Source organism: Homo sapiens, chromosome 2 (genome assembly GCF_000001405.40).
Source record: "Homo sapiens chromosome 2, GRCh38.p14 Primary Assembly".
In the NCBI taxonomy this organism is placed as follows: domain Eukaryota; kingdom Metazoa; phylum Chordata; class Mammalia; order Primates; family Hominidae; genus Homo; species Homo sapiens.
Window position 1 is genome coordinate 190287697 of NC_000002.12, and position 20748 is coordinate 190308444.

The following is a 20748-nucleotide window of genomic DNA, read 5'->3' on the forward strand; positions in this document are numbered from 1 at the left end:
TAAAAAAAAACCCACATTATATATACTCAAGATTTTCCCTAGGAAATTTTAGCAAGAAACACCAAAGACGACTAAATGTATGGCTTATAAAATACATATTTTTAAATGTCAATCCAACACAATCCTATCTATTCATTATCATTTAACAACTTAACCTTCGATTTTAAACAAAAGCCAGGGCCCAGTGTGGTGGCTGACACCTGTAATCTAACCTCTTTGGGAGGCCAAGGTGGGAGGATTGCTTGAGGTCAGCAGTATGAGACCAGCCTGAGCAATACAGCAAAACTCCCTCTCTTAAAAAAAGTATAGCCAGGTGTGGTGGCAGGCACCTGTGCTCCCAGCTGCTCAGAAAGCTGAGGTGGGAGGAACACTTGATCACTTAAGCACAGGAGGTTGAGGCTGCAGTGAGCTGTGATCATGCCACTGCACTCCAGCCTGGGCAACAGACCAAGACCCTATCTTTTTTTTTTTTTTTTTTAAAAAAAGGAAGAGCTATGTCACATTATGGTTGGGAACATTCAATATCAAAGATGTCAATTCCCTCCAAATTAACCCATAATTCATTCTAAGTCTAATCATAATCTCAGTAGAAACTTTTGTGAAACTAGATAAAACAATTCTAAAATTCATATGGAAGATCCAAAGTCCAACAGCAGCCAAGAAAAAAGACATGTAGAAAAAGCATCTTAAAGAATTTGGAAACAAAGTAATGATGCATAAACACTATGATCTATCCATTCTACATATTATTTCTGGAGAAACTTTTGCACATGGGAAATAAGGGACCACATACTAGATAGAGTACAACTATCTATGTTAGTAACTACTGGAAGCTAAAATATCCATTAATGTAGAACAGATAATTAATGTGGGATATAATCATAATATTGGATACCACAGAAGAGTTACATTCCATGTTGTTAAAAACAATTTATGGAATGGTTACACAGTAAGATAGTATTTATGTAAATTGCTAAACACAAAGTAAAAATCTTTTAGTTCAAACTTAAAATAAAAGCTAAAAAACAAAAGGAATTGGAAAGCTTAAAAAGCAGCGGCCTCTATTTGTCTACTTTGCTGTATAAAATATGATACAATGCTCTGCATTTCTATTTTGTCTTTAAACTTACACCACACCAGGTGCGTGGCTCATGTCTGTAATCCCAGTACTTTGGGAGGCCGGGGCAGATGGATCACCTAGGGTCAGGAGTTCGAGAGCAGCCTGGCCAACAGGGTGAAACCTGTCTCTACTTAAAATACAAAAATTAGCAGGGTGTGGTGGTGCATGCCTGTAATCCCAGCTACTCAGGTGGCTGAGGCAGGAGAATCACTTGAACCTGGGAGACAGAGGCTGCAGTGAGCCAAGATCGCACCACTGCACTCCAGCCTGGGTGACAGGGCAAGACTCTCTCTTAAAAGATAAATAAATAATAAATAATAAAATAAAAATAAACTTATGTTTTACTATTTTAAATACTTTAATGTTAAATGAGTATACAGCTTTTTTCATCACTTAGTAATTATTTTCATCAATTCATATTTTTAGAAAAACATATATATCCCCATGTGTTTAATCTACTAGATATTAATTCATGTTTTTATGCCAATATATAAATGTTTATTTGTCTAAAAGGCACATGACAAAAACTGAATTTATTTTTCCAACTATATGTCAAAATACGTTAATATCATGTATTCAATCAAATTCTAACTTAAAATCTTTTAGTTCATAAATATTTAGTAAAAATGTCAAATATGGTCTAGGAGAATACACTAAAAATTAATGACAATGGTTGTTTTTGAGGAGGGATAAATGGTTGCTTCTGGGGAAAGTAATGGCACTGAGGAAAGCAAAAAAATGGGCTGAAATGTAACTTCCAAACTTGCAGTATTATATTTCTTTTGGAGAAATTTTAAATCATCAAGCAAAAACAAAATATTGACGTCTGTTAATTCTGGGCTGGAGGGTACACAAGTACTTATTATGTTATTTCCTGTATCTTAACTTCGCATGCTAGATAAAAGTACTGCTTCACCTCCAATGAAACCTAGAACCTTGAATATAAAGAAATTTTTATTCCTAAGAATTAGGAAATGATACTATACTTCATTTCATAGAGAAAACTGGAACCCAAGTTTTTTCCCCCAAGAAAGCTACCACATGATGAGAAATCCATATTTTCATATTGATTTATTTTTGAGACGGAGTCTCGCTTTGTTGCCCAGGCTGGAGTGCAGTGGTGCAATCTCGAATCACTGCAACCTCCACCTCCCAGGTTCAAGCTGATTCTCCTGCCTCAGCCTCCCGAGTAGCTGGGATTACAGGCACTTGCCACCGCACCCAGCTGATTTTTGTATTTTTAGTAGAGACGGGGTTTCAGCACGTTGGCCAGGCTGGTCTCAAACTCCTGAACTCAGGTGATCCACCCACCTCAGCCTCCCAAATTGCTGGGATTACAGGCGTGAGCCACCATGCCTGGCCTCATATTGATTTTATAACAAATAGCAGTTAAGTATAGCCTACTAATATTAAAGGGTAACTGTTCTGAAATAAGCACTTAAAATAGTTTAATCAACTTTACTTATGCCTGGCACATGGTATTAAAAGTTTAAGTAAGGATGCCTATTGATTGCATTTTTAACAAAGTACATACTGTCCACCTCATTTCTTTATTCCATTTCCAAAGCTCTGAGCAGAATACACATACCAACAGCATTATTCAGCATATATTCTTCTCTGAAGAAAACTGGAGCTATCTTCTGTTTTGCCTTTTCAGCTTCCGAGATCACTAGGAAGGAAAGATTACAAATAAAAAAAAAAAGATTTAATAGTCAACATTGTCAACTAGATCAAAAGTATTATGAAAATTAAATACTGGGGGAAGGGAGTACTCTAAAATGACTTGTTAAAAGTTTTGAAGTTGCCCCTGCCACAGACATTATATTATAGTCACAGATCCATAGTCCAATGTCAAAGCTTCAAGGCAAAAATTCCTATTCTTGTTTTCCATGCTTCTTACAAAATGTTAGATTAGAAATTATAGGCTGGGCATGGTGGCTCAAACCTGTAATCGCAGCACTTTGAGAAACCAGGTGGGAGGATTCCTTGAGGCCAGGAGTTTGAGACCAGCCTGGTGAAACTCTGTCTCAACAAAAAATGTTTAATTAGCTGGCTGCAGTGCCACATGCCTGTAGTTCCAGCTGCTCAGGAGGCTGAGCCGGGAGGATCATTTGAGCCCAGGATATTGAGGCTACAGTGAGCCATCATCACACCACTGTACTCTAGCCTGGAGAGAAGAGTGACACCCTGTCTCCTTAAAAAAAATAATAATATATTGCAACAAGCTACATTTTCTTTTGATTATTTTCTCTAGCACTTAAATTAACATTTGCTAGACATACATTTCCTTTGGTAATATGTCTTAATACAAAATGTATTATACGTGTGTGTATAGTGCTACAACGTATCCCATGTCCTTAAATATTTCTGCCACATTCATTTCCCCCATAAAACATTTATTGAGCACCTACTACATACCAAGTAATGTTTTAGGTGTTGCAGATAATAAAGACAGCAACACAAGATGGCTGTCCTGGAGTTTAGACTGATACTAAAACATATTCTTTGTCCTGTAAGGATTGGGGTGCTGTCAGAATGGGAGCAGGAGATGTGTAATTAATTAAAAGAAGGCTTCCTAGAAGAGGTAACCCTAAGCCAAGTTGGAAAAGGTAAATAGGAATTTCCTAGAAAATGACAGAAAGAAAAATTCTGACTAGGGGAAGCAGTACCCTACAAAGCCTCAAAGTCAAGAAAGAAGAGTAAAATCAAGAATCAAACAGCTTTAAAAGACTAAAGGGCAAAGGGAAAAGGTGAGGCTAGACAGGTAAATAATATACTGACATTCTTATTTATTAACATCGATAGAAATGTAAATTCTCAAAGACATTGCTACAGCATACCACTGCCTGGCTTAAAAAACAAATGCTCAGTAAATATCTACTGAATAGTGAACACTATCAAATGGTTTCACTTCTGTTGCAATCTTCTATTACCCAGAGTTCACATCTCCTACCATATTCCTCCTCCAGTCAATCTCAAGACTGCTATCAAAGTTTCCTCTTCTATATACTGCAACTCATATGCCTTTCTTGTCTTTAAGTCCTATGAGATTTATCTATTAAAACACAAACTAAACATTTCATAGATATGTTTCCTCTTTTATGGGAAAGTATTACATACAAAATGTTGTCTACCAATTCTTACACTAACTCTAGAATTCTCTTGTTTGTTTTTTGTTTGTTTTGAGACAGAATCTCGCTTTGTTGCCCAGGCTGGAGTACAGTGGCACAATCTTGGCTCACTGCAACCTCCACCTCCCAGGTTGAAGTGATTCTCCTGCCTCAGCCTCCCAAGTAGTTGGGATTACAGGCATGTGCCACCATGCCTGGCTAATTTTTGTATTTTTAGTAGAGAGGGGTTTCACTATATTGGCCAGGCCGGTCTCGAACTCCCAACCTCAGGTGATCTGCCGGCTCGGGCCTCCTAACTCTAGAATTCTGATATCTCTTCCTTCAAAATGTTCCATATGTCGACTTCTTTTCCTGGTTTTTTGGGGTGTTTGTTTTTGAAACGGAGTCTTGCCTTGTCACCAGGCTGGAGTGCGGTGGCATGATCTCAGCTCACTGCAACCTCCACCTCCCAGGTTCAAGCAATTCTCCTGCCTCAGCCTCCCAAGTAGCTGGGACTATAGGCGCATGCCGCCATGCCCAGCTAATTTTTCTTTTTTGTATTTTAGTAGAGACGGGGTTTCACCACATTGCCCAGGCTGGTCTCGAACTCTTGAGCTCAGGCAATCCTCCCACCTCGGCCTCCCAAAGTGCTGAGATTACAGGCGTTAGCCTCTGCACCCAGTCCTTTTACTGGTTTTTAAAAGAAAGATCTGACACCTACTTTTATCATTCTGAGGTTTCACTTATACCTAAACAAACAAACAAACAAACAAAAAATGACTATCTTTGTTTATCATCTTTTATTCAGCTCTTATCACTGCTTACCAATTCTAAAAGGAAAGGAATGTAAGTTTTATCGCCTTTGGAATGAAGCTCTTTTACCTCAAAAACCTTCTCAAATTTCCTTCAAATCTTTTTCTGATCTAATTTTTATTCTAATCAATTAGTTCCATCTAAATTAAAATTAAATGTCCTTCACAATCATTTTTTGAAAATTTTCTGAGTGTCCACTTATTGTCTTGGACTATAATCTTTCAAGAAATTACATTTCCTGGACTTGAATCCACTGCTTTATATGTGTAAACTACAATAATTCTACAACTTGTAGCTGTTATTTCCAAACATCAATATAAAATTAGGCCTATATGCAGAAATAGCTCAGTCAGAAAAAGCTAATAAACTCAATACATAAAGCTCTGCCCACCTGTAAACTGACGATCACAGGCCAGACGAAAGGCTAATTCAAGGCTGAAAAACAGTATTTTAAAAATATGCATGTTGTTGGGAGGCCGAGGCAGGCGGATCGCCTGAGATCAGGAGTTCAAGACCAGCCTGGCCAACATGGTGAAACCCTGTCTCTACTAAAAATACAAAAAATTAGCAGGGCATGTTGGCAGGCACCTGTAATCTCAGCTACTCGGGAAGCTGAGGCAGGAGAATTGTTTGAACCTGGGAGGTGGAGGTTGCAGCGAGCAGAGATCACGTGACTGCACTCCAGCCTGCGCAACAAGAGCGAAACTCCGTCTCAAAAAAAAAAATAAATAAATAAATAAAATAATAAAAAAACGCATGTTGTAGGCAAAACAACAGATTCAAAAACAATTCAGTTAACAGATCAGTTTAAGTAATCAAAGTTTTCATTAAACTGCAATTTTAAAATTCATTAATAAGTATTTGAAATTATGTCCTGAATCCAGCTTTTTTCCTGTTCCTAAGGTAATGGTTTACGTAAGTTTGGTGAACAAGCCCAAAGACTGTTGTCTTAATACAACAAACAAACAAACATATAAAATTAAAACACAAAGAAAAAAACCATCCCTGAACCCTACCAAATCCACAAGAAACAAGATACAAAATGTAAAAAGTTTTCAATATACTGTACATATAATATGGACAATTATAGTGATTATAATAAATACATGACACTGATGCTGAGAACAGACATTTCTTCTCTTTTGTCTTTAACATTTAAATGTGTATAGACAGACTGACCTGAACAATTATGAAAAATAAAGAGAGTTTCTCTTTTTATCTCAGCATGTTTAAACACGTAAAATATACTTACAATATATATTTTGTAATATATATTTTGTGTGTATATATATATATATATATATATATATATATAGCAACAGGATAAATGCTATAAATAAGTACATAGAAGATGGTTGCTTTGGGATCTTGAATAGTGGGAAGCATAGGAAAAGTTATGGAAATATGTGAGAGCATGTCATATTTGAAGAATGGCAAGTCAACATGGCCAGATAGTCAGGTTATAAGACCAACAGAACTGCTTAATATCAGCTCTTCTAAAATATAAAGTGGACCCATATACCCTAACTGGACATTTTGTTTGTGATGATTCAGGGAGAGAGACAACATATTTAAATTTCAAATGGGTATTTGTGTAGTGAGAAAAAAAAATCTGCTATTCTCATTTGCTAATACTAACTGCAGAAAGTAAGTCTTTAAATTTTTCTTTTTCCTAAGAATGTATTAACTTTATAATAAAAAGTTCTAAAAAGTAAAGCAAATTATAAATTATTACAAAAATTTGACAATACTTGATCAGTTCTAGTAGGGGGAAAGAGCACTCAGGTGAAAGGGAAAAGTCTTTACCTCTGATATCACCCCCGGCACAGAAAGCCTTTCCTCCTGCTCCCTTTATAATGATCAGGAAAGTTTCAGGATCTTGTTCCCACTTCTATTCAAATGTAACAGAAGATGGTATAAGCATATTATAAACACAAACTCATTAAAGTTATATGCATATGCACATATATTCAATCATATATTCATATACATATGTGTTTGTGACAGTACATATTCTTCTGTAAGGGATATCCAGAAGAACGAATCTCATCCCATTCCTTATCAAATGAACTTCATATGCTTTTCCCAGATAAAGTAGAGGCTATTTCAAAAATGTTGCTAGATGAGTACACTGTGTGATCCAAATTTCAAGATGGCACCTGAAATCTTTGCCATAACTTTGATACCAAGATGAACAAATAAGGGCATAATAATAATATGTTACATAAACGTATAAATTTGGAGAACAAATCAACCCAAAGACTGCTGATAAATATAGCAATAACCTTTCTACTGTGCTGATACAGGGCTCTCTTACTCTTAATACGTAAGTAACATAGTGAAACCACTTATAATATAAAAAATCCAAGTCCTTTGGGATTGGTAAAGACAGCTAATAAATAAGTAGGATGAAAGAATCAAGAGCCGATGAAAATGTGAAAGTCCAGAACAATGGACGAAATGAAAAATTAGTTACCCACAGACAGAAAACTTAACAGGGGTTCTATCAATCTATACAGGTTGAGTATCCCTTATCTGAAATGCTTGGGACCAAAAGTGTTTCAGACTTTTTTAGATTTTAGAATATTTGCATATACAATATGAGATATCCTGGGGATTGGGAATTCCTTTATGTTTCATATCCACCTTATACACATAGCCTGAAAGTAATTAATTTTTCCCATAGGGACCCTGAATAAACAGTGTGTTGTGCACTTGTATTTTGACTGCGAGCAATCATGAGGCCAGGTGTGGAATTTTCCACTTGTGGCATCATGTTGATGCTTAAAGAGTTTTTGAATTTTATAGCATTTTGAATTAAGGATGTTCAACCTGTACTAGAGAATAAATATGTAACGCACAAGGAAGATGTAGCTGGAAAGACGTGATTGTCCAAAAGGTTCATGCAATACCGGACTACATTAATTACATTAATAGAGATGTTATTCTAACATGAACATTTCTAATTTCTTCCACTCTGGTCCAACTTTGATTTGCAACATTTGGCTTATTTCTATGTATCACATTTTGGGACATATTATAATGGTATCTCAAACAGAAACATAAGAATGGAAGACAGACTCATCAAAAGAAGAATTAAGGAATTGGTAGCCAGGGGAAAACTAGTATTTGTTAAACATCTACATGGCAGACTGTATTAGGTACTTATATATACTATTCACTTAATCTTTACATATCATCATCCCCATTTCAGAACTGAGGAGATTTGAGGTATGGAGAGATTAACTTTCCCAGCCTACACTGTTAATAAATAGAAATCCACGTTTCAAACCAGACAGTCTGACTTTAAGTCCTGTTTTTCTACTATTCCATGCTGCTCACTTAGGAAAGTTTACGGCCTTCTCTGAGAAAAAGCAGGCAGTTTAAAAGCAGCTGTCTGGCCGGGTGCGGTGGCTCACGCCTGTAATCCCAGCACTTTGGGAGGCCGAGGCAGATAGATCACAAAGTCAGGAGATCAAGACCATCCTGGCTAACACGGTGAAACCCCGTCTCTACTAAAAATACAAAAAATTAGCCGGGTGTGGTGGCGGGCACCTGTAGTCCCAGCTACTCAGGAGGCTGAAGCAGGAGAATGGCATGAACCCGGGAGGTGGAGCTTGCAGTGAGCCGAGATGGTGCCACTGCACTCCAGCCTGGGCGACAGAGTGAGACTCCTCCGTCTCAAAAAAAAAAAAAAGCAGCTGTCTTCAAATGAAAAGGCCGTCAGGTGGAAGCAGATTCGATTTGTACACTCATCCTCTCAGAGGCAGAACCAGTATCATTGGTTTAAAGGTCAGAGAAATACAGAGTGACAGAACACAAAAAGAAACTTGCAAACAAATCAGTGCTATATAAAAGTCAGAGTCTGTCTCAGGAGGCAGTAAGCTCCCTATCACCAGGGATGCTCAAGAATAACTGCACAGGGGAAGCACTGAAACCTCAAGAATTGATGGGGCTTACTTAGATGCATATCCCAGAGAATTATGTGATTCTATGGGAGAAAATACCAGAAATGTCCTATTATGATATACTTTGAAAAGAATCCATATAATTGCAATAAGAAAATTACAAACCTTTAGCTGTGGATAAATCTGCCGAATCATATTAAGAGTCAGTGCATTGAGGAACTTTGGTCTGTTTAGTGTTATGACTCCCGTGCAACCTTTTTTTTCCAATAGCACCTCTTCTGCTGCATCTGTGTGCTTGGACATTCTCTGTATAAACAAAGAATAACTTTATGACAAAATTTCTTAAGTTTTTATCACAAGCCAACATCAAAACATACATATCAAATGCAAATCTTGCATATTAATGGTAACTAAAGGAAAGAATAACTAGGTACACCTTATAAGTTTCTGAAGTTATTTAGATTATGTAGACGAACAATTCCAAAGCAAATCATACACACCTCCTAAATTTTTATTTCTGAGCTAACTGAATAAGCTGACTTATTATATAGAGCCCAGTCTAGAATTTCTTGGACTTTGAAATACCCTTAAATATTTTAATTTACTACTGTATATCAAGTTCTATGTTACATACTGAGAAAGCAAAGATGAATAAGAGAGGGCAAATAATTCTGACTATTGTAGCTATGGTCAACTTGAAAACAAAGATGATACTTGAGTTGGGGCTTGATGTATCCCAAGAAAAAGGGGAGGTGAGAATTCCAGGCAAAGGAAACAGCACATGCTAAGCCATAAGCAATGACTATTTGGAAATGTTAAGATGTTAAAACATTAGTGGAACAAAGGCTGGCTGAGGAAACGAGTGGTGAGAGGGTAGGCAGAATAAGTAGTTTGCAGCCAGATTATAATATGACATACTTAATAATTGTGAAGAAGTTTCCTGTATACTGACTTAAAGCCTTGCACAATATAACTTAATCACCAGGTCTCACTGCTTATGTATTTTGCAGTATTAACTAATAAAACACCTGTAAGGAACACAGTTTTAACTATACTGTGATTTCCCAGGACTCTGCTATACCCAACCATCAGGACTCATGGCATCACTATTCTAAGTTCTGGGATACATGTGCTGAATGTGCAGGTTTGTTACATAGGTATACATGTGCCATGGCAGTTTGCTGCACCCATCAACCTGTTATCTAGGTTTTAAACCCTGCGTGCATTAGGTATTTGTTCTAAAGTTCTCCCTCCCCTTGCCCCCCACCCCCCAACAGGCCCCAGTGTGTGATGTTCCTTTCCCCGTGTCTGTGTGTTCTCATTGTTCAACTCCCACTTATCAGTGAGAACATATGGTGTTTGGTTTTCTGTCCCTGTGTTAGTTTGCTGAGAATGATAGTTTACAGCTTTATCCATGTCCCTGCGAAGGACATGAGCTCATTCTTTTTCATGGCTGCATAGTATTCCATGGTGTATATGTGCCACATTTTCTTTATCCAGTCTATTATTGATGGGCACCTGGTTTGGCTCCAAGTCTTTGCTATTGTAAATAGTGCTGCAATAAACATATGTGTACATGTGCCTTTCTAGTAGAATGACTTACAATCCTTTGGGTATATACCCAGAAATGGGATTGTGGGGTCAAACAGTATTTCTGGTTCTAGATCCTTGAGGAATCGCCACAGTGTCTTCCACAATGGTTGAATTTACACTCCCACCAACAGCGTAAAAGCGTTCTTATTTCTCCGCAGCCTCACCAGCATCTGTTGTTGCCTGACTTTTTAATAATCGCCATGCTGACTGCGTGAGATGGTATCTCATTGAGGTTTTGATTTGCATTTCTCTAATGACCAGTAATAATGAGCTTTTTTTCATGTTAGTTGGCCGTATACATGTCGTCTTTTGAGAAGTCTGTTCATATCCTTCTCCCACTTTTTGATGGGTTTTTTTTTTCTTGTAAATTTAAGTTCCTTGGAGATTCTAGATATTAGACCTTTGTCAGATGGGTAGATTGCAAAATTTTTCTCCCATTCTGTAGACTGCCTGTTCATGTTCACTCTGATGATAGTTTCTTTTGTGGTGCAGAAGCTCTTTAGTTTGATTAGATCCCATTTGTCAATTTTGGCTTTTGTTGCAATTGCTTTTGGTGTTTTAGTTATGAAGTCTTTGCCCACGCCTATATCCTGAATGGTACTGCCTAAGTTTTCTTCTAGGGTTTTTACTGTTTTGGGTTTTACATTTAAGTCTTTAATTCATCTTGAGTTAATTTTTGTATAAGATGTAAGGAAGGGGTCCAGTTTCAGTTTTCTGCATATGGCTAGCCAGTTTTCCCAGCACCATTTATTAAATAGGAAATGCTTTCCCCATTGCTTGTTTTTGTCAGGTTTGTTGAAGATGGCACCACCATTCTTAACACATTCCTTTATGTAAAGGCAACACTTAAAACCTCACATGGGAAAAGTGTGCAATGTAAAATTGAAAATTGAAATTGGAAAATTTTAACTGGAGAATGCCAATTAAAACTAAACAGCACACTTATTAGCAAAAATCTAATAGAACCTAGAAGTACATATTTTGACTGCATTAAGCAACACGTTTATATAACGTTTAAGTTCTCCTTTATGAAATCAAGTTGCATATTTAATATTGGAGTTAATTTTTGTTAAAATTATCAGATAAAAATAGAAATAATTTATATTCACTTAAAGTTACAGGAACAATTCTTAAACAACAGAAAAAGTTGTGTCTTTTCAATTTCATTTGAATTTCTCAGTTTCTCTAACGAAAAATTCAAATAAAAACTTTAGCAACAGTAAGATATATTTTGTAATCACATTGACAATGATCAAAGTCTGATACACACACACACACACATATCTGATATATTCTTGAGTATAAGTAAACAAACATACTGGGGAAGGATAAACTTACAGAACCTGAAACAGTCTGACACTTTTTTTTCACAGATAGATACACATGGCTTTTATTTTTCTAAATGCTAGGAAACAGTGTTAAGGTTTTGTTTTTGTTTTTTTAACTTTTATTTTAGGTTCAGGGTACATGCGCAGGTTTGTTATATAGTTAAATTCATGTCGTGGGGGTTTGTTGTACAGACTGTCACATAAACCTAGAACCCAACAGTTATTTTTTTCTGCTCCTCTCCCTCCTCCTATCCTCGACTCTCAAGTAAGCCCCAGTGTCTGTTGTTTTCCTCTTTGTGTCCATGTGTTCACATCATTTAGCTCCCACTTATAAGTGAGAACGTGCGGTATCTGGTTTTCTGTTCCTGCATTAGTTTGCTAAGGATGATGGCCTCCAGGTCCCTCCATGTTCCTGCAAAGGACATAGTCTTCTTCTTTTTTATGGCTGTATAGTATTCTATGGTGTATATGTATCACGTTTTCTTTATCCAATCTGCTACTGATGGGCATTTAGGTTGATTCCATGTCTTTGCTATTGTGAAGATCCTGCAGTGAACATACGTGTGCATGTGTCTTTATGGTAGTACAATTTATATTCCCTTAGGTATACACCCAGTAATGGAACTGCTGGGTCGAATGACAGTTCTGTTTTTAGCTCTTTAAATCGCGACACCGCTTTCCACAATGGTGGAACTAATTTAAACGCTCATCAACAGTGTATACACGTTCCCTTTTCTGCACATCCTCACCAGCATCTGTTATTTTTTGACTTTTTAACAATAGCCATTCTGACTGGTGTGAGATGGTATCTCATCATGGTTTTGTTTTGCATTTCTCTAATGATCAGTGATACTGAGCTTTTTTTTTTTTAATATGTGGTTGGCTGCATGTCTATCTTCTTCTAAAAAGTGTTTTTTCATGTACTTTGCCCATTTTTTAATGGGGTTGTTTTTTTCTTATAAATTTAAGTTTCTTATAGATGCTGGATATTGGACCTTTGTCAGATGCATAGTTTGCATGTTCTCCCATTCTGTAGGTTGTATGTTTGTTGATAGTTTCTTTTGCTGTCCAGAAGCTCTTTACTTTAATTAGATCTCATTTGTCAATTTTTGGTTTTGTTGCAATTGTTTTTGGCGTCTTCGTCATGAAATCTTTGCCCGTTCTTATGTCAAGAATGATACTGCCTAGGTTGTCTTCCAGGGTTTTTACAGCTTTGGGTTTTACATTTAAATCTTTAATTCATCTTGAGATAATTTTTGTATATAGTGTAAGCAAGGGGTCCGGTTTCCATTCTCTGCATCTGGCTAGCCAGTTATCCCAGCACCATTTATTGAATAAGGAATCCTTCTGTCATTGCTCCATTAGTCAGGCTCGTCAAAGATCAGACACATGTCTGTCTGAATGGCTGTAAGTTAGTCAAAAGAGAAATCTACACGAATGTTGGAAATGGAAGTGAAGCAGCCACCCCTGCTTACCAGGGGCATAAGCCATAAGAAAGATTAACTTAAAATGTTAATCTTAGTTAACATTTCCCACTCTCTTGCTGAACTTTCCTCCTGGAACCCAACCAGGCTAGGATGACTGGAGCCAGAGGTGCTGGCTCAGGAGGGAAACAGAGGTCACTGCTAAATCCTTTCCCTTTATCTCCCATACAGAACAAAAGGCTTTATCTGCAGGGAGGGGAAGGAAAACCCTCAAGCTTGTAGCCCTAGGTCTATGATAAAGTCTCATTCTAGTGGGGGAAGGAAATAGAGGCCTACTAAATAAAAGTCTTCATCTCAAAAGAGAAGCACTTCAAGACCATAGCCTAAGGACCTTAGTGTTTGTCAACAACAGCTGAAGAAAAGGAAGTGGGGACAAAAGAAAAGGAAAATTTAAAAAGGCAGTCAATCTCAATCCCCAGAGGAGGGAGAGGGAGTTGGGGGAAGGAGTAGTGCCTGACTACAAAGGGGAAGCATGGAAAATTTTAGGGGAATGGAACTCCTCTGCATGTATTGGGGTGGTGGGTACATGCTTTATAAATTTGTCAAAACTCACAGAAATGTACATCACAAACACAACTGTCTTAGTCCATTCCTGCTGCTACAGCAAAATGCCTTAAACTGGGTAATTTATAAAGAACAGAAATTTATTTCTAACAGTTATAGAGGCTAGGAAGTTCAAGATCAAGATCAAGGCAAGTTCAAGTTCGAGATTCAGTGCCTGGTGAGACCCCATTTTGCATGAGTTCTGTGTGTCCACACATGGCACAAGGAAGGAAAAGGGCAAAGACGCCTAGTTGACTCCCTTCAACCTCTTTTATAAGAGTACTAATCCTGTGACAGTGGGGTGCTCACGACTTACCACTTCCCAAAAAGCCCCACCTCTTAATACCATCACATTTGGTATTAGGCTCCAACATACAAATTTTGGAGGGACACATACATTCAAACCATAGCATGAGCTATCTTTTAAAAAGCAAAAAAATTACCTAGGATATCAGGGAATTCCAATATGGAATGCAGACTATGACAAATGAACTGTCAACTGAAGAATCAGAAGATTCATAAATTTGGAAAAGAGAGCTTTACTTCTCCTAAAGGGCTGCAGCCTGCAGGCTGACCATCCCACAGGCTGGGAAACACAGCCTCTGGCAGAAGCCAAGAGCAAGCACTTCTAGTGAGGGAAACAGGAATTTATGCTGAACTGGCTGGCTACATAAACATATTCAACAGCTTACAGGAGGGGCTATGAATATTCACGAACAGGAGGCACATGCATGTATAGTAAGCTAACATGTATGCACATGCATGCCATGTTAACTCTGGGGTGGAGACTTAACAAGTAGTATCACAATTAGGCCCTATACATCAAAAGATGAAGCAGAGGAAATGGAGGCCCACTGTGTGCAGCCTCCCTACATAGACTGGCCAGAACCACTCCATCATCAGTGGTCTTTTATTAGGAAGGAATGCTGGTCAGTTGCTGTGTCAAAACTGCAAAAAGAAGGAACAACAGTCAGGTAGTTGCTTGAAATCAGCAGGGGAAAATTTCGGCTGGTTTCTGTTTAACTCTTAGGGAAGAAAGACTAATGGTGGCTAATAAGGGAGGAGGTATTACAAGGTGTGTCCAAGCTCTCATTCCATCTTGGCCAGGAACTCATTTTTAAGCTTTCTCTGGGGTCCCCTTGGCTGAGAGGGGAGTCTAGTCATTGGGGGGAACAGGATTTTTTCCTTCTCAGAACCTAACTGAATTACACATTATGACATAACCTCAGTGAAGTGACTGTGGTGATAAGGAAGCTAACTAACTTTGGAAATCAGTGAAATGACTGAAAACTGTATGGATGATAAAGGAACTGTACATCAACAGTGTACTCTATCAACATGGCTTTTCATGGTAGCAAGGAGCAGGTAACAATTCTGCAACTGCTTTGCATATATACTAGGTTTAAATTAGTAAGTAATGGAGCCTGGCTCTCACTGTCAGGAGTAGAGTTACAGATAGAACAAGAAGGGAAAGACAGAATGAACCCTGACCTATGGTACTGGATTAAAGACAAAGACATCACTATGAACTCATGTTTAGTTTAATACACATATACAGAAAAAGTACAGAAACAATTAGAGATATGCATGAATACATGGGTAAGTACATAGTGTATATGCATTCTATTACAGATACATACATTACCCTAGCTCTATCCTCTGAGAGAAAGCCATGACACTCAGCAGCAAAGAGCACTCCCAGAGTCTAGATCTTGATTTCCAAATGCAATTCTCCAATAAAGGCAACCAGAGCTCCTTAGAGAAAAGGCTGATTCCAGCACTAAGATAGGGAAAACACGAAATGAGTCCAGAGCATACCTTCTAGCACCAGAAAGGAAATGTTCAAAAAAAAAAAAAAAATTAAAAGGATGGGGTCATATGAAAGAAATACAAAAGCCAAAATGAAGGAATTCCTAATGGCCAGAACTGGAACAATGAAGCAATCAATAATGTGATATTAGATGATAGCCCAAAGAATAAATATCCATGAGTCCACACAGAAAAAATAAATGGAGGAGAAAAGATAATCTTCCTCGCAGAATTCTAAATGACATATGTAGTTATCTCCCTTCCAAGAGACAGAGCTTTGTCCCCTCACCTTTTGAGTTTGGGCTGGACTTACTGACTTGCTTTCAATAAGCAGAGCATGAAAGGGAAAAATAGCAACTTTATAGTGGAAAACAATAAATGGCACTTACACAAAAGGATAAAAGTTAGCATTACCAATGATGTCATGTAGATACCATGTACTCCCTGATGCATTTGTCAAAACCCACAAATACTCCCTGATATGATGAGATTAGAAGGGCACTTTTCCTCTGTCATATTCTTGCCAAAAACCTTAACTCTAGCCTAATTATGAAAAAAACAACAGACAAGCCCAGATGAGATGGTATTCTACAGGCTACCTGACCACTACTCCTTAAAATTGTCAAGGGCATGAAAAATATGGAAAGATAAGTTGAGAAACTATCACAGACTAGAGGAAACTAAAAAGCATGACAAGTGAATGCAGTGTCATTGATTTCTGGAACAGAATATTAATGAAAAAAAACTGGTGAAATCCAAATAAAGTCTGGAGTTAACAGTAATATACAAATTGCCTTAGTTAAGTTTCTGTTGCTCACACCAGAATACCTGAAACTGTGTAATTTGTTAAAAAAAAAAAAAAAAAGGAATTTATTCTTTTCCTTAGTTATGGAGGCTGATGTCCAAAGTCAAAAGGATACATCTAGTGAGGGCCTTCTTACTGGTGGGGACTCTGCAGAGACCCAAGGAGGTACAGGGCATCATATGTCAAGGAAGCTAAGCATGCTAGCTCAGATCTCTCTTACTTGTCTTATAAAGCCACCAGTCTCACTCCCATAACCCCATTAATCAATTAATGGATTAATCCTTCGTGAGGACAGAGGCCTCGTGACCCAATCACCTCCCAAAGGCCTTACCTTTCAATACATCCACACTGGGGGTTAAATTTCGAAATGAGTTTTGGAGCGGGCAAATATTCAAACCACGAAACCAATATTCTCAGTTTTGATAAGTGTACCATAGTAAGAATAGTAGGCAGTTTGCTAGGGCTGCCATAACAAAGTACCACAAATTAAATGGCTTAAACAACACAAACTTATTTTTTTTGTAAAACCAGCAGTTTTATTTTAACCAACATTTGTTTTGATTTCCAAGTTTTATGATCTCTTCTACCTCCAAAAGAAACTGAAGCAACTTATAGATTAAAACAAAGTATAAAGAACTAAAGCATTTAGAGATAAAATAGGACGAATAATGTATCCCTGTGCTGGAATTTATAAGACACAGTATGCTTTAGTAAAAAAAGTGTTAGAATTGAAGCACAAAAAATCCTGGGTTCTAGCCTTAAGTCTCTCTAACTGTGTGGTCTTGTGTAATCTTTATTCCATTGGCAAAACAAAGTCTCTAAAACTTTTTCAATGTAATTTTGTAATATATTTAAAAAATAATATGCTAGCATTAGTATGTGAGGCAAAATGCGGTGGTTGAGGTTGTAGAGGAACCAGTTAAGAGATTAAAGAGTGATTAGGTACAGAGGATTAACAGTAGGAATAGAAAGAAAAGGAGGGGGGAATCCTTTTAAGGAAACGTTTGACAGAGCTTGGAAGTTCACTGGAAATGAGAATGAGCAAGATGAGTCCGAGATGACTTTGAGTCTGAACAACACAAACTTATTGTCTCACAGTTCTGAAGGCTGCAAGTCTAAAATCAAGGGGTCAGCAGGGCAATGCTCCTGCTGAAGGTGCTAGGGAAGGAACTATCCTAGGCTTCTTTTCTGGCTTCGGATAGTTCTCTGGCTTGTGGCAGCATAACTCCAATCTTCACGTGACATTATCCTGTGTACATGACTATCTGCAAATTTCCCTTTTATAAGCATACCAGTCATATTGGATTGAGGCCCACCCTACTCAATTATGACCTTAATTACATATACAACAACCCTGTTTCCAGATAAGGTCACATTCTGAGGTACTGGGGACTAGGACTCCAACATATGAATTTTGGGGGACACAATTCAATCCATAATAGCAATGTAGGATCACATTAGGGGAAACGGAAACTGGGTGAGAGGTACGTAAGAACTCTGTACTATCTTTTTAACTTTTCAATAGATCTAAAACTGTAAAATAATAAAAAATTATCTTAAAAACTTATTTCTATAAAGTCAGGTAATAAAATATAACATTTTCTTAATAAGCAGAATAAAGAGATTTCCCACATCCAGCTGAACCCATAATCTCAGTAAGATTTTTTGTTTTTAATTAAGGGGGCAACCACAGGTAAAATGGTGAAAACCAAAGTTGCCCTGGTTTGCAACACTACTGATTTAGTGTCTATCTTTCTCAGGCACTTTTCCATAAACTATTAGCAAAAATGGAATGCCATACCTTATTCTGCACCTCCCACTGTTAATTCAGCAACTTGCCATGGTCATCTTCCCATGTCACTACTACAGATAAAGCTGTCTTATTTTTTTTCTATGTTTCTATGGTAAAACAAAACACACACACAGACAACCACCGAAAGTATAATATAGAACTTAGTCAATTACTATAATGCAAAACTCTTGTAACCACTACCTAGGTCAAGAAATGGAATTTAGCCGCTGAGGGATGCAATCTGGCATAAGCGCTGGAAATTTCTCTGTACCTTACTGCTGGGTGTGCTATGAATAGGTATGCCATGAACCCAAGGGCCTGACCACTCCTTGCCTGGGTCATTTTCAAGGTAGCCACCATGAAGAAAAAGGTCTTTTGCTGTAGACTCCACGAAGAAGAAGGTTTTTGCTGTGAGCCACCATGAAGAAGAAGGTAATGTCTTCCTCTGGGACAGACAGCAGACTTATTTACAGCTTACTAAAACCAGCAGGTTTCCCAAATTGCATGACAGTTGTACTGTCATGCAATATACTGCATATGCAGGCACTCATATAGGTCCTCTGTATCACTCCCCTGAGGCTTAAGCAAGAGAAACCTTGCTCAGTGTTGCTCGCTGTGCCACTCATAAAAAATTCTATTTTTTCTAATCCAAGAGTGTCACGTCTTCTGCTAGCACCCATGAAATATTAAGAAGCTAACTATTAGCTTGTATAGTACTACAGACTGAATGCTTGCATCCTTCCAAAATTTGTATGTTGAAATCCTAACCTCCAAGGTGATGGCATAAGAGTGGGACCTTTGAGAGGTAATTAGGTCATGTCAGCCCTCATGAATGAGATTAACGCCCTTATAAAAGAAACCCTGGAGAGCTTCTTCACCCCTTCTACCACAAGAGGACAGAGAGATAAGATGGCCAACAAGGCTGTCTATTAACCAGGAAGCTGGCCATCACCAGACACCAAATCCGCTGGCCCCTTGATCTTGAACTCCCCAGCCTCCAGAACCATGAGAAATAAATTTTGTTTTTTATAAGCTACCCAGTTTACGGTTTTGTTACAGCAGCTCAAATGGACTAAAACACTATCATCTACTATATTCTTGGGAACTAGGAATCTAGATGTGGAGGAAAAGAGATTCAGATATAGGATTAAAAGGACTATTAATAATTCTAGGACACCATCTGGACATCATAATAAGAACATGTGTACTGTCATGAAAATGATATACACAGTATCATTTCATGCACTCCAAACACTATACCCTCAATACTGAATACTACTTTCTAAAAGGACAAAAAGAAAATGAAAATAGAAGTTTTCTCCATATCCAGGTCAAAATTAAATGAGCTTTTGCATATTAAATTAAAATGCTGTTTAAGAATTTAAAATAGACCAGCATGGTGGCTCACACCTATCATTCTAGCACATTGAGGGGCCAAGGCAGGAAGATCATTTGTGCCCAGAGGTTCGAGGCCAGTCTGGGCAACACAGAAACCTCATCTCTACAAAAAATTTAAAAATTAGCTGGGGTTGGGGTTCATACCTGCAGTCCTAGCTACTCGGGAGGCTAAGGCAGGAGGATCACCTGAGCCTAGGAGTTCGAGGCTACAGTAAGCTAATGTCACTACACTCCAGCCTGGGCAACACAGCAAGACCTTGTCTCAAACAATAACAAACAAAAAAAGAGTTTAAAATAGATTATGGAGAAAGAAGAAAAAAAAATATTTCCCTGAATATTTTCATAGTAAGAATATGTCCAAATTAGTCTACAGATAGAAATGAGGCCTCACTGACAGGTTCCACTGGCTTTCATTAGCTTGACAAACCTTATATGCAGAAATGCAGAATTCTGTCCTCCCTTCTGGGTTCTATTCCCTACCTTCTATCTTGGAAGGGTCACCGTGAATGTCACACTATAAACACAAAATAATCCTGTCCACTTCTCATAACTCTGCCTGCAATACTGCCATCAATGGCATACTTCCATCACTCCACCATGAAATAAAAAGGATCTCTCCCTCTCTTTCTCTTTCTCTCTCTCTGTCTCAGAAAGGCCACAGAAGAATTGCTTGGGATACATCTTCTCTACCCCTGAGGCACTCATAAAAGCAAACACTGAGATTCAGAATTATTCAACCCCCAGGCCCTGAGAGTCTTTATCTTCCTTCCAGGTGTCTTCTGCCCCATGTCACCATAGTCCTCATATGATCTGGATTCTGTCATGTCTTCCCATTCCACCTTTGTACTTATGTCTGAGTCACTGACACTGCTCCTAGTTTTTTTTCTAGGAAACTCCTCAACCTCCATGTATAACAGCTGAATAAAATAAGTAAGGGTAGTGCTATGGTTCGAGTATTTGCCCCCTCCCAAACTCCTGTTGAAATTTAATCCACACTGTGGCAATACTAAGAGGTGAGTGCTTTAAGAGGTGATTGGGCATGACA

At 37.9% G+C, this 20748-nt stretch overlaps 1 protein-coding gene across 5 annotated transcripts in view; it reads right to left on the reverse strand.

The window, feature by feature from the left end:
• HIBCH (3-hydroxyisobutyryl-CoA hydrolase) overlaps positions 1-20748 on the reverse strand; it is a 130092-nt gene that overhangs the window by 97962 nt on the left and 11382 nt on the right. For all 5 annotated transcript variants that reach the window (XR_922903.3, XM_047443905.1, NM_198047.3 and 2 more), the window contains exons 3-5: positions 9117-9257; positions 6850-6934; positions 2709-2789 (exon numbers count right to left, since the gene is read on the reverse strand). Coding sequence is in view for 4 of the 5 variants with exons in the window: in XM_047443905.1 (XP_047299861.1) it covers positions 2709-2789; positions 6850-6934; positions 9117-9257 (307 nt within the window). In the remaining variant the exon portion in view is untranslated. The remainder of the gene's footprint in view (positions 1-2708; positions 2790-6849; positions 6935-9116; positions 9258-20748) is intronic.